An 18513-nucleotide genomic window follows, 5' to 3' on the forward strand; every position below is an offset into this window, starting at 1 on the left:
ACTGTATCTGACACTCAGTTCCCTGCCCGGGTGAGTCAGCCACAAGGGGCCTGCAGGACCTCCCTCCACAGCTTCCAGCCAGAAACAAAGAAGGATAGGGAAGCCCTGGTCAAGTTAATGGCAGCTAAAACGCTCCCAGTCCATTTATTGGCCACATGAGGTGGTCGTCAAGAAACAAGTTAGAAGGTTATGACAGGAAGTAGTATAATAAATGCCCGGCAGTACGAGGGGTTCAACAGAAGTGAACAAGGCACAAGAAAGAGGTCTGTGTTCAGGAAACAGGCCAGTCCCCACATGGAGCAGGTGACTCCTGTAAGCCTGTGAGGCTCAGGGAGGTCGTGTCTGGCTCTGGCCTGCTGGAGCACACGGCCGCTGGAGCCCGCAGCCAGCTCAGTGGAGCTGAGCGTCCAGTTCGTACTTCTCACAGAACTTGTCAGTGAAGGGGATGCAGGTGAGGAACTCACACCACTCACAGCGGACAGGATAGACGTAGAAGAGGACCACCAGGCCAGCCAGGAGGCCCAGGAAGACCACCTGAAAGATGATGATCTGGCAGCGTTTCCGGTACAGGTCGAACTTGCCAAAGCTGATGTAGGGCAAGAAGGCGAAGGAGAGGAAGAGGCCACTGATGAACCCTGAGATGTGGGCAAAGTTGTCAATCCACGGCAGCAGCCCAAAGGTGAAGAGGAAGAGCACCACAGCCAGCAGCTTGAAGAAGGCACGCCAGGGCCGCGCCAGGATCTGCCAGCTCTGGAAGAGCTCCACGAAGAGGCAGGCCAGGATGCCGAACTGGGAGCCAGCAGGACCCACCTGGGGGATGGTTGGGGTAGCTGTAAGGCAGTGGGGCTGGGCAGGCCCCCTGGACCCAAGGCCTCATCTTTCTGCCCCACTTCCCATGGCCCAGAGCATATTGGGACCGAGGATCCAACTGGAGATGCTCCCAGACTCAGTGCTCGATATGGACAGGTTCACAGCAGGCTGCAGGTGCACACGGGAGGATCCCCACCCTGAGGGCCAGCCTTACCTCTGCTCGGTATGGCAGGAAGATGGCACTGGCCAGGTTGCCGGTGACACCACTCAGCAGGTAGATGATGGCTATGCGGTGCCAGCCTGCCAGCTTCTCCAGGTCCCGCAGGACAGTCATCTGGAAGCAGATGGACACCAGGCAGTGCAAGATCCTGTAGTCAGTAGCAGGCGGGGGTCGGGAGACATTCAGCAGGGAAGTGACCTTTCTGCCACCCCCAGCCAGCCAATCCTGAGGGCCCTGAGACCCCCGACCCGGCCCACAGTGTCACTTGCCCGGCGTGCAGGAAGAGGGATAGCCACAGGCGGTAGAACTGGTCAGGCACCTCGGGGTTGAGAAAAGGCAGGAGCCCACACACATCATCCATGCAGTGCACCTGCGCAGAGCAGCATATCAGCATCACAGTAGCTGGGGGAGGGGAACGACGGACACTCTGCAGACCTACCTGAGAGCAGAGCGTGGCCTCCTCATGGAAGTAGCCCCTCATGAAGTCACAGTACTCCCGGGAGGTGATCTCACACCTAGAAAGGCAGGCCAGGGTTCGGAGACTGCTGCCTTGCAGAGGGGGATTGCTGGCATCCAGGGCGAGTTTCAGCCGCACCTACCCACCTTTGTTGGCCCCAAGGAAGTCCAGACCCCCTCTAACCCCACATCCTTGGTATACTGGCTTATTTCAGGATTTGGTTAGGGAGAAGGCACACCCTAGGGCGATGCTCTGAGCCCAGAGACCAGCTGCACTCGCTGGCACGCACACGTACCTGCCCTTGGTGCCAATGCAGCAGGGCCGTCCTGTGATGACACAGTCCATGTGGGGATGGTTGGTGTGGTTCCCAGCGCTGTTTTTGGTGCAGATCTGGGTCACAAATGAGGACGAGCTGAGTCAGGGCCTCCCCCAACCTTTGGCCCCACACCACGTTTGGGGGTAGAGGCAAAGATGGGTGGGCTCATAAAGCAGAAAACGGTGTGGCTTCCTTGACTTCAAGCAGGCCACCACACTGAGTCTCTATCAAACTGGAATAATGTCACTTGACCTTTCAAGTCTCCATCTAGTTCTCTTGATCTACTTGCTCAGAGGGGCAGGCGCTGGTTGATGGACAGGCTGTACAAAGGGCAGGTGCACAGCCTCTGAAAACGTGAGGTGGTCCCATGATGGGAATCTCTGGTATCACCAGTGGGTGGGGTGTGGCATTCTCTCCCACATGACACGGAGGGCTCCCTAACAACCCCCCCACTGCAGCTCACCGGCCACTTGGTGATGTCTTCTGGCCACTCATGAGGGTCTTCGGAGGAGGGCTCATCACACACCCTGCATGAGCCAAGTATGTGGTCAGACCGGCTTCGAGCCCCTAGCATTGGCACCCTTCCAGCCAAGTCGCCAACAAGAGGAGCCCCTACACCCTCTGCACCACAGCCCCCGGGGAAGGTGTGGACAAAGGCAGGTGAGAGAGCTGCCGGCAGGACTAACCTGGGATCCTGGTGGCAGACAGAGCCAAACTGTCTCTTGTGGCCCGCAAGCTCTGGGGCGCTGGGATGGATGGGCCACTTCACCCACACTGCCAGCGTGGACTGTGGGAGGGGGACACAGGGTCAGGTCCAGTTGGGTCAGGGCAATGAGGGGCACGCAGGGAGTCAGGAGTCGAAGGCAAAACCACTGAGCTCTTCCCTCCGCTTCTACAAGTCACCCCCACTCTTGAGATGCACGTGCATGTTGGAAAAGACTCTTACAAGGAGTTTGACGGCATAATTCCTGTTAGCTGAAAATCAGAAACAACCTCTGTGTCCTAAATCAGGGAACTGGTATGGACTACGGCACTTCCACATAAGATGATGTGATGAAAGTTGGGATGAATTTTTTTAAAAATTGCTTAGTGGAAAAGAGGCAAATACCACTTATGTAAGCTTTAAGACACATGCTGGAAGAGTACACCCAAATCAAAAGACCAAATCAGATGATGGTCTACGGGGCGAGGAGCTGGAGATGGGGGAGGGTGGGGATGAGGAGGAATGAATATGACAAGGCCTTGCGCGTAAGGACGGCGGGATGTGCCAGGAACGAGGGCGAAGGATCACTCTGCCGAGTCTATCTGAGGTCTGAAGAGCGAACACCGGGCAGACGAAGGCGGGAGTCCCGGGCGGGGAAACGCACCGAGCACTCCTCCTCCGAGGTCTGCACGCAGCCCGACCTGTCGTTGCGCACGCAGCAGGCGGAGTGCTTCTCGCGCTCGCGCGCCGAGCGAATGAAGCTGTGCACCTGCGGGTCCTGGCGCATGCAGGGCGAAAACTTGGCGCCCAGGTGGATGAGGGCCTCCTGCGGGCGAGGGAGACGAGCGGCCGCAGTCCGGGGCCTCCTGCCCCCGCCGGGCACCTCCAGGTCCCGCCCCCGCCGGCCCCGCCCCCAGCCCCGTCCTCACCGAGCTGGGCCCGATCCAGAAGTTCTCCTGCTGCACGTACTTGACGTTCTCGTAGACCCCGCGGTTCCGCAGCACCTGGGAGGTTGGGGAGCGGGATCAGACGGGCCCCGACTCTGGCCCTCTCCTCCCAGAGCGGGTCGGGAGGGGGTCCAGTGCCCGGACTCCACTCGTCTGGGCCCAGGGAAGGCACAGGGGCTCACCGAGTCCACCGTCTCATGCTGCGAGAAGCCCACGGGCGCGATGCCATAGATGCACACGGCTAGGATGGTGACGAGCGAGTGCACGAAGGTAAGCCAGTAGGTGAAGAAGGGCCTGCGGGGTGGAGCGTCAGCGGGGGCCTCATCCCCGACCCGGAGCCCCCACCCTCCCCCGGGAGCCTCCATCCCAACCCAGGCCTTGCCTGCCACGCCTACCTGTGGTCGTCCATGTCCTCGATCTGGCGCTTGACGAAGCTGTCGATGCGCTTGCGGTAGGTGCGGTTGGTGAGCCGTCCCACCATGCCCAGCCCATACGGCCGCTTCTCCCGGGCGAAGAGCTTGCGCACCGGCACCGCGATACGCTGGCCCCGTCGCGGCCCCGCGGTGCTCACCACCTCCTGTCGGAGCCGCACCTTGGGCTGCGGGGCTGCGGCGCCCTCCTTCTGCTTCCGCCAGCCTCGCTCCAAGGGCCTGGAGGGAGCCGGCATTCACCTCCCGCCCCAGCCCCGCAAACTGCTGCAGTCCCTCCCCGGGGGGCACCAGGGCACCCTGTCTCTATCCTGGCGAATATACTGCGCAAGTCGCCCGGCATCTGCCTTCTCCTTGCCAGTAAAAAAGCAACACTGCGGGCCTCCGGGGATGGCAGGGAGCTGGAACGGGGACACACTGACTTCTGCAACTCAGCAAGTATCACCTCTGTCACCTCCGCCTCCCCGTTGGATTCTGCCCAGCCCCTGGGTTCTAAGATTGCTGTCCCATTCCACAGGCAAGCCATGAGACTGGGGCCATGCCCAGCTCTGCGTCTCCCACCCCTGGTGGCCCAGTGAGTAGTGAGTTCCCAGTCCCTGAGGCTACCCCTTCCATCGCCCACAGAGGTGAATGCCGATACTCGCCCAGCTGTTCCTGACGGGCCCCGGGGTCTCTCTCTGCCCCTCTTCCCTGCCTGCCGCACTCACAGCATCAGGTGGCTGCGCTCAAGCTCGCTGCGGTCCAGGGCCCCGCCGGTGAGGTCCGCCTGCTCCGGTGCCTTCTCCCAGTCCTTTAGCGCTGCCTCCGATGGGGACTCGAAAACTTCATCCGGGTATGTGGACAGCTCTTCATGGAGGATACCTTCCTGAGCAAACACATGAGGTCAGGGTGGACACAGGCAGGAAGGGAACGTGGGGTGGGGGGACACCCCGGGCACTTCTTACCCGGGCAAAGAAGGATGTGTCCAGCTCATCGGGGAAATCAGTTGTGTCCTCCTCCAGAAAGCTAGCTGGAGTGAAGCTTCGACGCTGTGCCCGGCGAAAGGTGCCATCCCTAACGGAGCGGCCCTGGGGACGGGGAAGTGAGCATGAGACCCGGCTGCTGGGTCGGCCCCCAACCCCGCCTTTGGCCCCTGCACCCACTTTCATCAGCGCTGCGGCCGCCCGGAAGCTCATCTTGGCCACCGACTCTCGCTTGCGCCGCCGCGGGAGCCGGTGGAAACCTGAGCGGGAGCTGGAGAAGGAGCAGAGGGAGGCAGCACCCGGCGTGACGGGAGTGTGTGGGGCACTCAGGCCTTCCGCAGTGTCATCTGCCACACGGAAGGCACGGCCACGGGCCAGGGGGTCTATGATCTGGAGGAGGGGAGGAGATGCTGGAGTCAGGACCATGGGGGCTCCTAGCTCACCCAGAGGCACAGAGGCCTTGCAAAGACAGCGTGACTGCTGCTCCTGACTCCTCACGGGCCCCTGGACAGCTCTATGGCCACCACTCCCACCCCACAGCACCTAGAGGTCCTGCCTGGAATGCTCTCCCATCCAGACACTGGCCCCCTGGTGCAATCCCAAGACCATGTCCCCATCCCAAGGTACCCCTTCCCAGAGACTGTTTCAGGTGCCTTCACGAGCAGGCTGTCTGACTGCCCTTCCAGACTGTGAGCTCCCAGAGAGTCCCTTCTGCTCAGGCTGGCTGTGTCCGCAGCCCCAGCCCCTGAGAGCGGAAGGAGGGGCCTGCAGGAGGCAGCAACAGGCAGGCATACCTTCTGCATGCCCAGCTGGCATGGCCCCACGTAGAGTGGGGGTGGCGTCTCGGTGCTGGTCAGCGACACGTTGTCCTGGCTGGGCAGGTCCAGCTCCCGGAGGACCTGGGGCTTCAGCTTCCCGTAGCGCTGGCTGCAGTGACGGATGCTCTTGCGCTGCCATTTCTGGGTGCTGTCACTGTCCTTGCTCACTCCAAACCAGTCGGCGGTCCCCCTGGCATGGCAGGGACTCAGCAAGGGGCGGCCAGATCGCCCCTCCCAGGCAGGGGACTTCAAAGGCCCTCCTCCGGGGCAGCATGCTGCCCCCAGGCCTGTAGTCACTCCAGGGACCAGGGTCTGAGTGGGCAAGGTCTAATAAGAGGATGAGTGGGTTCCAGCCACCCCCTGAACTGTTAGCCAACTCCAAGTTTCCACTAGACCGCAGCTGGCCTTGCCCGGTTGAGTGCTTCATAGAGGCCCTCACCCCACCATCCCTGAGGGGCAGTTGAGGGGAGGCACTGAGTCCAGAGAAGGAGCTGAGAGCTCAACCCGAGAGAGCTTGGCCCCAGGACACCACAGAGCTCAGACAGCAGGTGCTTACGGGCCCAGGCAGGCTGTCCACAGCACTTGGACATGCAAACAAAAACACTGCCAGCACCTGCCGTTAGGAGCCCCAGGGAATGCCAACCACACTGGCAGCTCCCAAGAGGTCACATGCCAAGCACATGCCAGAAAACACCAACACACTCATGACCTGTATGAGATACCTGAGCAGGGACCAAGAGAGAGACTGGCGCTGTGGGAAGGCCCTGCGGGCAGCCCGGGGACCCAAGAGGGGCAGAGTGTGGACACGCCCGAAGCGTACTTGTCGGCTGCTAAGAGGCAAGAGCATCCGGGCGGTGGAGACAGAGAAGGAGAGAGTGAGTGCTGAAGAGAAGGGAGTGGAGCAGGGTAGTGGGGTGAGAGCGGTCAGTATCCAGAACAGGAGGAGGGCAAGGGGATGGTGGGGACCGAGATGGAGGAGGAAGCTGAAACAAGAGGGCCCTTGTTCTCATTTCCATCCTCTGTGTACCTGCCTCTGCCCCACCAGCCCCCAGCTCCCACCCCATGGAGCAGCTGGGCGGTGTTGGTACCTGCGGATGGTCTGTGTGATGGACGTCTGGCGTTGCAGCACCGGCCGCCGGAGCTCATGGTGGGGTGAAGAGATGTGGGCTGTCTCGGCTGGCATACTCACACTCCTCAGGAAAGCCTGTCGCCTCAGGGGCTGGGCAACAGGGTCATGGTGAGGGTACTGGACAGGGGGCACCCACAGTCCCTGCAGGCCAGGGCCTACCTGCAGGAAGCTGGGCTCTTCTGCCGTCAGGGGCACCGCAGAGGGAATGTCCAGCTTTAGCCAGGGTGGCTTCTTGCGCTGCAGGCTGCTCGTGCTGTCCCTGCGGGCCTCACTCATGGTTCCTGGCAGAGCAAGGCAGGCCTGCGGGGCATGGTGTGTTATTCAATAATGACAAAGCTGACATCTGAAGATTCATTGCACCCAGACCCGGGAGGAGGGAGAAGCAGTGATGAGCCCAACCGTGGTGCTCATGTCCCCCACTGTCAGAGCACTACTGTGTGCTCAGCACCGACTTTCTCTGTGCCTGCCTTGTTCATCCCAGCAGACAGTGCTGGGCACAGCCTAGGTCCTCAGACAACATAAGTCCATGGGACAACTATCTGAGCACACACTATGGTCAGGATACTGCTCTAGGTGCTTGAGGCACATTGGTGGAGAAACGAGACAAAATCCCTGCCCTCCTGGAGCTTACAGTCTAGACAATATTTTTAAATGAGTGAATGTACTGGTTAAAAGATGCTAAGTATGATGGGAGCGGGGGAAGCAAACTAGGGTTGCTTGACAGGAGGCAGTGAGGCCTCCCCATGAAGTAACAGCTGAGCAAAGGCTTGAAGGAGGGGAGTGAGCACAGCTGGGGTTGCAGGGGTTTCCACACACAGGGGACAGCCGATCTGAGGTCTCAGTGACAGGAGGCTCACCCTAGTCTGTGCCCAGGGCAAATCTCACACCTGTCTTACCAGGCCTCACCCTCTTACCCACCCAGACTTCCACTCCAGGGACAAAGGGCCCACTATGCACATGACAGCCTGCAAGAGGTGTGTGATCGGTCCAGTGCATAGAGTCACCACATTCAGGAAAGAGGGTGACACAGCAGCAGCTAGTGGCCCCAGGCTCCTGGGCACAAATGACTTTCCAGAAACCACCCGGGCGCAGACACCGTAGTGACCACCAGGTGACGCCACGCGCCCAGAAACAGCAGTGAGGCGGCTCGGTGCCGGGGCTGCGGGGCATTGCAAGCTTGGCTCTACCATGACATGCCAGGCACGGGGCCAGGGCCCCACGGAAGGCCCCAGAGCAGATAGGCCAGGGTTCGATTCTGGCCACCACTGCCTGGCCATATGACTACGACTCCATTTCCCCCTTACACCTTCCTGGCAGACCTGCAGCTGTCCCCAACCCAGGGGGACCACACGGCGATTCCAGTGGAGACCCAGATTGAGAAGGGCCCCTGAGCATGACACGAGACAGATAGTGGGGGGCTGGCCAGAGCTGAAGCAATTTTGGACAGAAAACCCCAAATTCCTCAGCCTCTTTAAAGAGCTGCAGCCTCTGACAGGCTCGGAGCCGCTGGGTCGGCAACCCACCCACCAAGGCCCCAGAAATGGCTTTCACTCACAGGTCTCCCTCCCAACTGCTTGGAGGAAAGCCCCACCTATGCTGTACAAATAGGGAAACTGAGGCCAGGAAACACAGGCTTGCCTCGCTCACGGTCATATATGGAGGGCAGCACAATTAGAGACAGCCCAGGGTGCTGCTCACAGCTCCTAATGGTCTTATGCCAGCCAGGGACAGGCCTGGGACAGAGCTCACGGCTCCTTCCGACCCTGTACTACCAGGGAAAGGCTGGGAATGCTGCTCACAGCCCCTACTGGTCCTACAGGGACCAGAACAGACACAGGTGGGAGGGGGTACTTCAGGGATGCCTTCTGCTGGCTCTTACCCCACCCCTCACGCTCCAGCCCCTTATCTGAGCTGACTGTGCACTTCAGGTCCCAGGTGAGAGCTGGGGGGCAAAGCTTTGGGGCACTCCCCAGGCATGGTGCCCAGGGATCATTCCATCCACATGGCCCCCTAAGGCTGAGTTCCTGTCCCTGGCCCATACTTGGCCTGGAATCAGGGGCACGAGCCAAGGGCAGCAACTCCACATCACTGGGAAATCCCTCCAGGGCCCCTCACCCATGCAGAGCCCCAGAGTGCAACAGGGTCGGACAGAAAGGCATCCTAACTGAGAACTGGGTGGGTCAAGGTCCCTCTGGGAACTGCACCAGGAGACCCCTCTGCATCTGACTCGTGACCCAAACCCAGCCCAGACCTGCGTGTCCTGGATACGGCCCAGCCACAGCGTGAAGGGGTCACAGCTAGACTTCCTCATCGTCCCCCAGCCCTCCCTCCACAGGGTATATGGACTGCAGTACCATCACCCTGCTGGTAAGGAATAGCCAGGAGGGGCCACCTCTGAGTCTCAGACACTAAGGGTGGAATTTCAGACAGCATCAGACACGTTGGGAAGGCAGGTGGTGCTCGGCAAGGGGCTTCCGGAACCCACAGTGCTGGGACAGCATTCTGAGTACACTCCCAGCATGTTCTCACCCAGAAAATGGACGAATGCTCTTAGTGAGGCCATTATGGGGGCCAGAGAGGAGCAGGGCCCAGCGTAGAGACTGGGGCCACTGCCAGGAATCAGCAGGCTGAATCCAGGGGGCCAGCCTCTCCAGGAGTCTCCACCTGTGCCCAGCAGCACTAGGCGACATCCAGCTGGTTCTTCACTCAGGAGTGTGAGTGACCTTTGCCAACAGAGACCGTTGCCAGCTGATGGGCTCACACACATCCATGACTTCCCTGGCTCCTGCTCTCCGCTGCTCCTCACACCTGACTCCCTCCCATCTCAGAGCCCTGCAAATGCGCTCTGCCCACCCTCCCCTGTGTGGGAGGACCTGCAGCCTCAGGCTGCCCTACTACCCAAAGGCGGTCCTTGGCCTGGATCCCTGGGCACAGCACAAGGCAGGAGTTCATTCACATATGTATGGGCCACTGTCCTGTCACTGCTGCCTCCACAGTGCTCAGGACTGGCCTGCTCTGAAGCCACCGCTGGGTAGGCACTGATCACTGAACAACGCAGGCCATCGGGGTCCCTAATCTGGGGTAACGGAGGATTCCTCAAGATGACCTCTCAGCTGGGTCTGGGAAGACGAGCTGCCTGGCATGAGCGGATGCAAGCAGGAACAGTCAGGGGGTGAGAAGAGCCGAGAGCTGTGAGCGTGTACGGGGAACCTGACCTCCCCAGGACTGTTTCGGCCGGGGACCACAGCCGGCCCCAGGAACCTCCCCAGGACTGTCTCAGCCGGGGACCACAGTCGGCCCCAGGAACCTCCCCAGGACTGTCTCAGCCGGGGACCACAGTCGGCCCCAGGAGACAGCAGAGTGCTCAGCTCATGAAGGAGGCACCAGCCGCCATGCCTCTACATCCAGGTCTCCTGGGGTTCCCACCTCCACAAAAACCCCCACTGCTAGGAGTGCAGGCAGGAGGGGACCTGAGAACCGACAGTTATAGGTCCTGCGGGTGGGCAGTGCTGGGTGTTCTGGTCTGCCCCACCCCTGTGTGCCTAGATCCCCATCTGGGCCTCAAGTGGGTGGGATTCCAAAGGAAGAGCCGGAGTAGGCGTGGGGAGGGGCAGGCCCAGGCTGGACAAAGAGTCTGGCCAGGGAGCGGCACATTGCCCTCCCAGAGACAGTGGCTCAGTGTCCAGGCCTTCCCCAGGCGCACAGTGGGCTCTTGTTCCCAGAAAGCCCCTCGGGGGGATCCAAACAGTGTCTCCCCCACCCCGCTGACCCCTCAGTGTATGGGGAAACCGTGGCCCACGGAAGGCCTCACTGCCTGGGGTCACACAGCATCTGAGTCACTGCAGCAGCCTCACAGCTGCCAGCCCAGGCCCAGCCCCATCAGGAGACACCCAAAGCCACAGTGCATCCCAGGACCAGCTGGGGGGGCTGCGGGCAGGACTCTCGATGAGGCTGAGGGACGAGGAGGGTCAAGGGAGCCACTGGCGCCATGCATGCTGACGTCCCCTCTGGCTGCCTGCAGAGCCTGGTGTGGAAGGGCTGAGTGGGGGATGGTGGAGAGTCCTGTTAACTCAGGTTTCTGCTCTGGGGATGTCTGGGCACCCATCAAGCTGGCCGCGTGCACAGGTGCAGGGAGAGCCAGAAAGCAGGAGCCGATGCAGGGAGGCCACTGGGGACAGCCCAGGCTGATGCTTGGGCCCCATGTGTCTCCACCACCTACAACCCTAAGCAAGCCTCAGCTTTCCCATCTGGAAATCAGGGGTCACAGCAGTGCCTGGCACAGTAGCAGCGGCTGACTCCATCACAGGGTGGTGTAGCCTGTGGGTACTTGGCACTCTCTGAGGGGCAGGAGCTGGGGGGTGAAAGGACCCTAGAGCATATGCAACAAGAGGGCAGCCCTGGGGACACCTGGGGACAGAACCCTCCAAAGGTGTCGAGTTTGGGAAGAGACTAGAGAGAAGCTCTGGCCAGTCCAGGCATAGACAGTGGCCACAGCCAGTGGAGAGCTGCATCCTCAGGTGTGAGCAGCAACCACCTCTGTACTCAGGCCTGCCCTGCACACTCACAGGACCATGCTGGCAGGGACAACTGGCGGCGGAGTTGACTGCCAACCCCGGGGCCAGAACCATCAAGCCTGGGCTCTGCTCCGCCCAAGGAACTGCCTGCTGCCGAGGTCAGCTGGAGCAAGGGGCCTCACCCCGGGACACCTTCCCAGACGTGTCCTCAGCTCACATGAGCCTCATCCCAGGGGGATGTGGCTCCTCCAGCATCCCCACCCACACGCTGCTCTCTGACCCTCAGTCTTCTGTTTGACTCCTAATCTGAAGCTCAATCCTAGATCTCCCTTGAGAAGGGGGTCACCAGCTGTCTGGCAGCCCAGCCTCCAGGTCTTCTGGATTAATGAAGGGAAAGTCACCTGGCCTCTCTGCCTTGTCTATTAATGGCATCATGCTGAGAATGATATTTGCTAGGCCCTTTGCAAACCCCAAAGTGCTCTTCAACCCTCCCAGTGAAGCCTCTTCTTTTCTGTGGAAGAAATGAGGTTCAGGGTGGAGCAGGGCAGGCCTGAGACCTTTGCAGGGTTCTCTCCAGGTCCCCAGCAGGACAGACTGGCACCCTGCCTCCCCTCATCACCCTAGACAAGGAGACAGAACAAGAGGTTCCCTGCTACAGGCCATCTGTGAGGGAAGCCGCCCTAGGGCCTGTAGACACAGGAATCCCTGAGGACCTGACCTGTGAGGGTAGTGCACAAAGGGGCCAGCACTTGGCAGGAGGGGGGGGGGCACTGCCCCAAGGCTCAGCTAGCAAATGTGGCACAGGGGTCACCAGAGCTAAACCCCTGACTCAGTTGGGTCTGACAGGGGCTGACATGGCAGACACACCCAGGAATCAGGGGACACCAAGTGCAGCTCAGGGCACCTGTCCAGGCCACACAGTCAGAAAGGGGATGGCAGCAAGGACTTAGCTACACTAGATTCTGGGGGTAAACTGCCTGGTATGCTGGTCACTGCTAGTCCCCAGTCTGGAGTCTAGCTGGGTCTCAGGAGTTAGGCGAAAACACCCTCCCCAGGCTGCAGGTGGGAGAGGCCCACATCCCCTGCACACGTCTGGCCAGAGGACAGATGGGCAGCCCAGTCACCAGTCAGAGCCCTCCAGAGGTGTCCCTGACTGACCCTACACACATGCACCCAGGTGCCCAGGCACCCTTGGGCTCAGCAACCCTGCAACCCCCTCCCAGGACCCACCAGAAGCAGGATAGGACTAGAGAGGCCACAGGAGGGAAACCAAGTCAGAGCAGAAATGGCTTCGGTCCTCAGCAGCCTGGCTCAGCTTCCTCAAACCAGATCCTGACTGATCACACTGGTCTGTCTAACCCCTGGGAGGGGTCCTCTGTATCCATCTTACAGATAAGGAAACTGAGGCTCAGAGAAGCCCATCACTGCCTAAGGTCCCAGGGCCTATAAGGGAGCTCAAAGCCTTGGGCCAGGTCTGCCCAGGAGCTGCAGTGGAAGGGACCCTGTCTGCAGACCCCCAGAAGACAAGGCAGACCACCTGGGTTCTTCAGCCTTGTGGCTGTGGACGGCTGTCAGACCCTTCTAAGACCCCTTGCCACCTGCTCCATCAGGGGCATCTCAGTTGAAGAAGGAAGGACTCACCCCCAAAATCGTCCAACTCAGAAAAAAAGGCAGAAGCCAAGGAATCCAATCACTGGGCAAAATGTGATCCTGGCACAGACACTGAGGTGGGGGAACTGGAGCCGGTGTGGCGGAGGCCCTCACAGCCAAGAGCAACTGGGGGTGCCCTGGGCAGGGACTGTAGCTGGGAAGATCCTAGGGGAGGGCCTGATGGTCCCTGAAAGGCAGGGGAGACCTGGACGACTCCCCCTAAACCAAGAGCGCACCCTAGAAAGTCAGCTCCCCAAGGTGGGGACCGGCCAGCTCATGAGGGGTGCTGGTTGAGGGGCCTGCTTGTGCAACGGAGGCCACCCAGCCAGTGAAAGCTACTTGGAAGGGCTGGGAAAGGGTCTGAGGCCCCTTCAATCTGGCACCACCAGACTCCCATGCACTCCATTTGCCCCTGCCCCATTCTCAGGAAAAGGGGCCCGGCTTGCCCAGAATGACCCCTGGTGGCAGGGGGCTCCGCCTCAGGGACCCCTTGAGCCCCAGCCAGCTGCTTGGTCCCCAGCTTCTGCCCACCCTTGGGGTCGGGGCTAGGAGGTTGGGGTTAGCTCCACAGGGGTGAGGAGAACCGAGCCTGGGACTGCCCAGGCATCTAGCTGGGTCAAACCTGAAAAGCCAGTTTCATCCTTGAATCTTCTCCCGGTCTCCAACAGGAAGTCCCGTTGGCGGGTGGGAGTTCCCAGGATAGGAGAAGGGCCTCCAGACCTAGGCCCCACCCACCGGGACAGACACACACATTCACCATCTCAAGCGGCACACACAGAAGAAACTCTGGTCAGGACCACCTCGGTCGGAAGCAGGCCCTGGGGGGCCAGGGAAGATCCCCTGCCCATTCCCCGCCCAGCCCCACAAACATGCCCCCAGCATGACAGACAACCAGGCCCTCTGCCAATGCCCTGAGCATCTGGGGTCTGGCTGTCACCCCAGCCGGGAGAAGGCCTGTCCCCGTTGGCCTCTGCGCACAGAGTGAGAGTCTGTCTTCGGGAGTCGCTCCCAGCCCACCCTGGAGCTTCGAAGTGTACAGATGGGGGAGTCAGTGTCGTGGGGCAGAAGGCGGAGTCAGTCCCCCACCCCCAGCTCCACGGCTCCTGCTATTCCCATCGGTGAGGGCAGCCGGGACAGGGACCATCCCGCCCTGGGCTGGAGTTTCAGCTCGGAGACACCACCCGCCGGTCGTGGCCGGGAAGGAAAATGCAGCGGGGGGAGTTCAGAGGAACCTGGGGCACCCCCGGACTCTAGACTCCCGCTCCTGGGACCCTCAGCTGTTGGGCGGGGGCTGGAGCCGAGCTGTCCCGCCCGGCCAGGCCGCTGGGGCTGCTAATCCGGCCACGGGCTATTTTTGCGGCGCGCCGGGCTAGGAATCCGGGGCTGGGCCGCCTCCGCGGGCGACTCGGGAAACTCCAGGAAGAAAAGCCCGGCCGCCCCGGGGGGGCCTCGCCGCGACCCCTCCCCGGCCCCGGCCCCGGCCCCGACACGGCCCCGGCCGCTCTGAGCAGCTCCGGCCCCGGGTGCTGAGGACTCGCCCCGCCCTCCGGACGCAGCCCCGGAACCCGCCCGCCCCCGGAGCCCTGCGCTCCCGGCCGCGCTCACTCACTGCCGCCGCCGGGGGCTCTGGGGGGTCCTGAGGGCGCCGGGGAGGAGGCTGCCGCCGCTGGCCGGGAGGGCCCGCGCCGAGTCCCCGCCCGCCCGCCGGTCCGGCCCGCCCGGGAATGCCCTGGAGCGAGGGGCGTGCGCCCGGGGGCGGGCCCGGCCGGAGCGGGGCGGTCGCGCTGACTCAGAGCTCAGGAATGCGCGCCGCCCGCCTGCCCGGCCCAAGTCACCTCCTCCCGGAAGGCCGCCGGGCTCCCTTCTCCCCAGGGTCCGCCTGCGGGGACACCTGGGGCTGGGGTCTCCAGCGCCTCGGCCCGACGGAGGACCTGGTGGGAGCGGACCGCAGTGTCAGCGCTGGGCGGCTCCGCCTCTCCCTGGCTCCAGATTGAGGCTTGAGCTGTCCTGCCCTGATTTGTGCTGAGAAGAGGGTGAGGAGGGAGAGCAGGCACGGGGTAAAGGGCGGAGGATGGGTGTGTATCCCTGGCTCCCCTAAACCCGACCTCCTCCAGAGGCCCACGCTGACAAGTCCTGTATCCCACACTCACCCAATCCCACTAAGCACTCACATTCCCTCACACACATTCATGTGCACCGATCACTCACAATCATACACACACGTCCCCACATCCTTCCACTTCATGCGTTCATTCGCCTGCACATGCACGTGCTCACATGCACCCACCTACTCATGTACATCTTTCATGGGTACATACACGTGCACACACACACGTGTACACACCGATGCACACACTCAGTTCAGGACCACAGTCATTACCCCTCCCCCTGCCCTGTGCCCCTACCCCCAGAAGCCCCGCTCCACCAGCAGGCACTCAGGCCAGGCTGCACCGGCCCCACCCGAAGCCACTCAGCAGAGGCAGCGCAGTGTCTGGTGTCCACTCTGGGCTCTTCTCACTGTCTCAGAGCTCAGCGGCCACCCCGGGGTGGGCTCATATCCCTGCACAATCTGGGCTGGACTCAAAATGGCACTCTGCTTTCCGCTGGGGCTGCTGGTGAGAGTTTCCCAGCATTTCTCTCCTGACACTGGGTGGGCTGACCCTCCCAGGGTGGGGGACAGGGGTGCCAACAGCAGAGTACGGGCAGGGCTGTCCAGGAGCTCTGAGTGGTGGGTGGCCAAGGCTTCCTCTGGATAGAGGGTGCAGGGATCCCTTCGTCCCATGGGTCCCTAAGGACCCCTCTACAGGGTGCCCCCCCATGCCTCGGACAAATGTGTCTTCAGGCCCTGTGCTGGTCACAAGGTGCTGCTGCTTCAGTGCCATCCTCTGGGTCTGGGTGGCACCAGCCCTCTCCAAACTGAGCTGTTGCACTTGAGGGCCCGACGCAGACAATGGCCTGCTCCTTGGCTAGACAGAAAAGGGGAGAATTTGAACTAAAGGTGCTGGTACACTTACCGGTAGATCCCAGAGCCTGGGCAAGATTCCCCTGCCCATATCCTTGTCCATGCCACGGGATAGGGCGGTGCCTGCACATAATGGGTGCTCTCTGAACACAAGCAATATCAACACAATTCTCATGTAGAAGGAGACAATGGAAGCTTTGGAGGGGGTGGAGGGTAACTCCACCAGGGGATGACTGCCAGTGCATCACGGACACCGGGTGAGAGGGAGCCTGCCCCAGTGCCAACACTCAGTGCTCCGATAGCCTGCACGTGCCACCCCTCCCATGCCAGGCTCACAGCCAGAGACAGGACAGTCTCCATGCTTAGCATTATTGACCTGCCAGGGATAAGCAAGCCCTATCGGGCCTGGATGCCCAGACTAGGCTGGCAGGGCCAGAAGTGGTGTCCTCTCTGGAAAGCTGGGGACTGGGCTTGCCTCCAAAGCATGCCACAGCTGGGCATCTGGTGTCAGCAGGTCTCCTCCTGCAGTGGACTCTGTCAGACCCCACCTAGACCCGCTCCAAGACCCAGACACTCATCGCCAGCTGCCAGGAGCACCAGTCACAGCTGGCTCAGAGCTGAAACCCCCCGCACCCAGGAGTCACCTTCAGTGGGGAGCATGCCCCAGTCTGCCTCTGCAGGCAAATCCCCAGCTCAGAGCCTGTGTCCAGGAATCCCCAGGCTCTCAGCCCACCCTGGCCTCCTGAGTGAGGTCATCAGAAGGATGATCAGAGGGGGGTCGATACACGTGTGCTCAGTGTCAGGCCTCTGAGCCCAAGCCTGCACGTATACATCCAGATGAAGCAAGTGAAGAATCACAAAAGAAGTGAAAATGGCCGGTTCCTGCCTTAACTGATGACATTACCTTGTGAAATTCCTTCTCCTGGCTCAGAAGCTCCCCCACTGAGGCACCTTGTGACCCCCACTCCTCCCCGCCACAGAACAACCCCCTTTGACTGTAATTTTCCACTGCCCGCCCAAACCCTATAAAACGGTCCCACCCCATCTCCCTTCCCTGACTCTCTTTTCTTCGGACTCAGCCCGCCTGCACCCAGGTGAAATAAACAGCCTTGTTGCTCACACAAAGCCTGCTTGGTGGTCTCTTCACACGGACGCGCACGAAACTCAGGATTGTACCCAGTCCACATAGACAAGTGTGTGCACATATGTGTGCTCTGCCTCCTGCCTGCCCTACTACTCTCTGTCCTGGTGGAGGAGCCCCCTATACGGAAACCCAGCTCCCGGCCCCTCTCTTCCCGCGTCATGCACCCTGGAGAAATGGAAATCAGCTGCAGTTGCCCAGCACTCCCGGGGCTGGTGGGCAGGCGTCTGAGAATGGGTTAGGGTTAGGGTCTAGACCAAACCCAGGGTTTGTGGCCCTCACACCAGGACACGAGGGAATGGGAGCCCTGACCAGTAAGAGGAGTGTTCCCAACAGCTACCCCAGAATCCTCTGCTACCCCAGAATCCTCAGCTCAGCTTCTAGGCCACAAGTAATCACCCAAGGGGTCAGACCCTGGGCTTTGGGGAGTCCCTGGAAGGATCAGAAGAAACCGCCCGGGGAGCAGGGCTCCAGGGATGGGCCCATGACCAGCTCCTGGCTATTTGGGGAAGAGGCAGAAGGGGGCCAGGCCAGCCAGTGGCCTGAAGTCATAGGCTATTTCTGAGGCAGCTGCCCCCTCCCCATATCCCAGGGTTTGGCAAGGGGTTCCCATAAGCACCTGGGCCCAGGGCCTGGCAGCACAGCCCCAGGCAGGGAGGATGTAGCTCACACACACCCAACCTCGGCCTGCCCAGTGGCTGCCTTCTCTGCCCAAGGAAGCTTTGGCCCTCCAGGGCTCATCAGACACAGATGGCCGCAGAGACCAGTCAAGAGGCCAGCAGCCACCCTGCTGGGAAGCTGCCAGCTCAAAGCTGTGTAGAGGAGTCCATGGGCTCTGACCTGACACCCACCTCAACAGCTGTCAGCACCCCCCTCCATCAGAGAGAAGACGGAGCCAGTGTGCTGGGCACCCTGGGGTCATAAGGCTGATACTAGAACCCTGGCCCCTGTAGCCAATACAGCCACATCTCTCAAAGACTTGTTTATAAAGGCTCCAGCGACTGATGGCCACACCTCCTACAGCTGGAGGCAGCTCCAGCCCCTCCACAGCCTGTGGCCTATTGTGGAGGTCGGGGGTCAGGGCTGCTCACCCCAGCACCAATACTAGCCTTCACTCCTTTCAAAGCCTCAAGGGTGTTCTCATCTCCATCTTCCACTGATATCCTTGCCTCCTCCAACAAGCCTGTTCCAGCCCAGCAGTGGGACAAACTGGGGACAGAGGAAGCCCCAGGCCCCCTCCTCTCACCTGGCACCACTTTCTCTTGTCCTGGACCAGCCCGCCAGCCCACTCTGCAGGCCACAGTTGGAACTCTCATCCCACCGCTTCCAGCCTGTGGTGGGAGCATGAGACCACAAACCAGGAAGTGGGGGGGGGGAGTGCCCAGAGATTGCGCAACCCCCAGCACTCAGTCCAGAACATCTGGAGAAGTTGGTTGCTGGCGCCCCGGTGCCGGCC

At 61.2% G+C, this 18513-nt stretch overlaps 1 protein-coding gene and 1 long non-coding RNA gene across 10 annotated transcripts, besides 7 other annotated features; one reads left to right on the forward strand and one right to left on the reverse strand.

Moving 5' to 3' along the window:
• RHBDF1 (rhomboid 5 homolog 1) lies at positions 110-18411 on the reverse strand. 9 transcript variants are annotated; one of them, NM_022450.5, is made up of 18 exons: positions 14564-14682; positions 6950-7090; positions 6750-6880; positions 5638-5851; positions 5024-5233; positions 4826-4948; positions 4589-4746; positions 3849-4103; positions 3636-3747; positions 3436-3510; positions 3171-3332; positions 2490-2590; positions 2267-2330; positions 1783-1877; positions 1470-1545; positions 1300-1400; positions 1025-1178; positions 110-810 (listed from the first exon to the last, which is right to left on the reverse strand). In NM_022450.5, the coding sequence occupies exons 2-18, from the start codon at positions 7064-7066 to the stop codon at positions 391-393; spliced, it is 2568 nt and encodes an 855-aa protein (NP_071895.3). In that variant the 5' UTR covers positions 7067-7090; positions 14564-14682; the 3' UTR covers positions 110-390. The 9 variants fall into 9 exon arrangements, with proteins under 9 accessions (NP_071895.3, XP_047290435.1, XP_016879045.1 ...); XM_047434479.1 differs by lacking the exon at positions 14564-14682 and adding an exon at positions 13577-14254; XM_017023556.2 differs by lacking the exon at positions 14564-14682 and adding an exon at positions 18304-18411 and having other exon boundaries at positions 6750-7090.
• Positions 8021-8120: an enhancer, noted in NCBI's record as "active region_10199". NCBI's record gives its function as "activates an Ori minimal core promoter by ATAC-STARR-seq in GM12878 lymphoblastoid cells {active_cell/tissue: GM12878}" and the evidence as "EXISTENCE:reporter gene assay evidence [ECO:0000049][PMID:35858748]".
• Positions 12442-13259: an enhancer, noted in NCBI's record as "H3K27ac-H3K4me1 hESC enhancer chr16:120389-121206 (GRCh37/hg19 assembly coordinates)". NCBI's record gives its function as "activates a minimal SCP1, AML or CMV promoter by ChIP-STARR-seq in primed H9 embryonic stem cells {active_cell/tissue: H9 hESC(primed)}" and the evidence as "EXISTENCE:reporter gene assay evidence [ECO:0000049][PMID:30033119]".
• Positions 14252-14435: a silencer, noted in NCBI's record as "fragment chr16:122199-122382 (GRCh37/hg19 assembly coordinates)". NCBI's record gives its function as "represses an EF-1alpha promoter that drives an FKBP-Casp9 reporter gene in an ReSE screen in K562 erythroleukemia cells {active_cell/tissue: K562}" and the evidence as "EXISTENCE:reporter gene assay evidence [ECO:0000049][PMID:32094911]".
• Positions 14682-14741: a silencer, noted in NCBI's record as "silent region_6899". NCBI's record gives its function as "represses an Ori minimal core promoter by ATAC-STARR-seq in GM12878 lymphoblastoid cells {active_cell/tissue: GM12878}" and the evidence as "EXISTENCE:reporter gene assay evidence [ECO:0000049][PMID:35858748]".
• LOC124903617 (uncharacterized) lies at positions 14878-17041 on the forward strand. The gene is made up of 2 exons (XR_007064932.1): positions 14878-14987; positions 16431-17041. It is a non-coding gene; the product is annotated as an uncharacterized LOC124903617 (long non-coding RNA).
• Positions 14896-15713: an enhancer, noted in NCBI's record as "H3K27ac-H3K4me1 hESC enhancer chr16:122843-123660 (GRCh37/hg19 assembly coordinates)". NCBI's record gives its function as "activates a minimal SCP1, AML or CMV promoter by ChIP-STARR-seq in primed H9 embryonic stem cells {active_cell/tissue: H9 hESC(primed)}" and the evidence as "EXISTENCE:reporter gene assay evidence [ECO:0000049][PMID:30033119]".
• Positions 15714-16530: an enhancer, noted in NCBI's record as "H3K27ac-H3K4me1 hESC enhancer chr16:123661-124478 (GRCh37/hg19 assembly coordinates)". NCBI's record gives its function as "activates a minimal SCP1, AML or CMV promoter by ChIP-STARR-seq in primed H9 embryonic stem cells {active_cell/tissue: H9 hESC(primed)}" and the evidence as "EXISTENCE:reporter gene assay evidence [ECO:0000049][PMID:30033119]".
• Positions 16531-17348: an enhancer, noted in NCBI's record as "H3K27ac-H3K4me1 hESC enhancer chr16:124479-125296 (GRCh37/hg19 assembly coordinates)". NCBI's record gives its function as "activates a minimal SCP1, AML or CMV promoter by ChIP-STARR-seq in naive and primed H9 embryonic stem cells {active_cell/tissue: H9 hESC(naive and primed)}" and the evidence as "EXISTENCE:reporter gene assay evidence [ECO:0000049][PMID:30033119]".
• Positions 18412-18513: the final 102 nt, after the last annotated feature.

This window comes from Homo sapiens, chromosome 16, assembly GCF_000001405.40.
Source record: "Homo sapiens chromosome 16, GRCh38.p14 Primary Assembly".
Classification (NCBI taxonomy): Eukaryota; Metazoa; Chordata; class Mammalia; order Primates; family Hominidae; genus Homo; species Homo sapiens.

Excerpts from the sequence above, each read along its gene's own strand:
- RHBDF1 (XM_047434478.1), bottom strand. The coding sequence starts at position 13,714 with ATGGTGAATGTGTGTGTCTGTCCCGGTGGGTGGGGCCTAGGTCTGGAG. Across the intron at positions 5,234-5,637 it reads GCCAGCTGGGCATGCAGAAG|ATCATAGACCCCCTGGCCCG; the intron begins GTATGCCTGCCT and ends CCCCTCCTCCAG. Across the intron at positions 811-1,024 it reads TCCTGCCATACCGAGCAGAG|GTGGGTCCTGCTGGCTCCCA; the intron begins GTAAGGCTGGCC and ends ACCATCCCCCAG.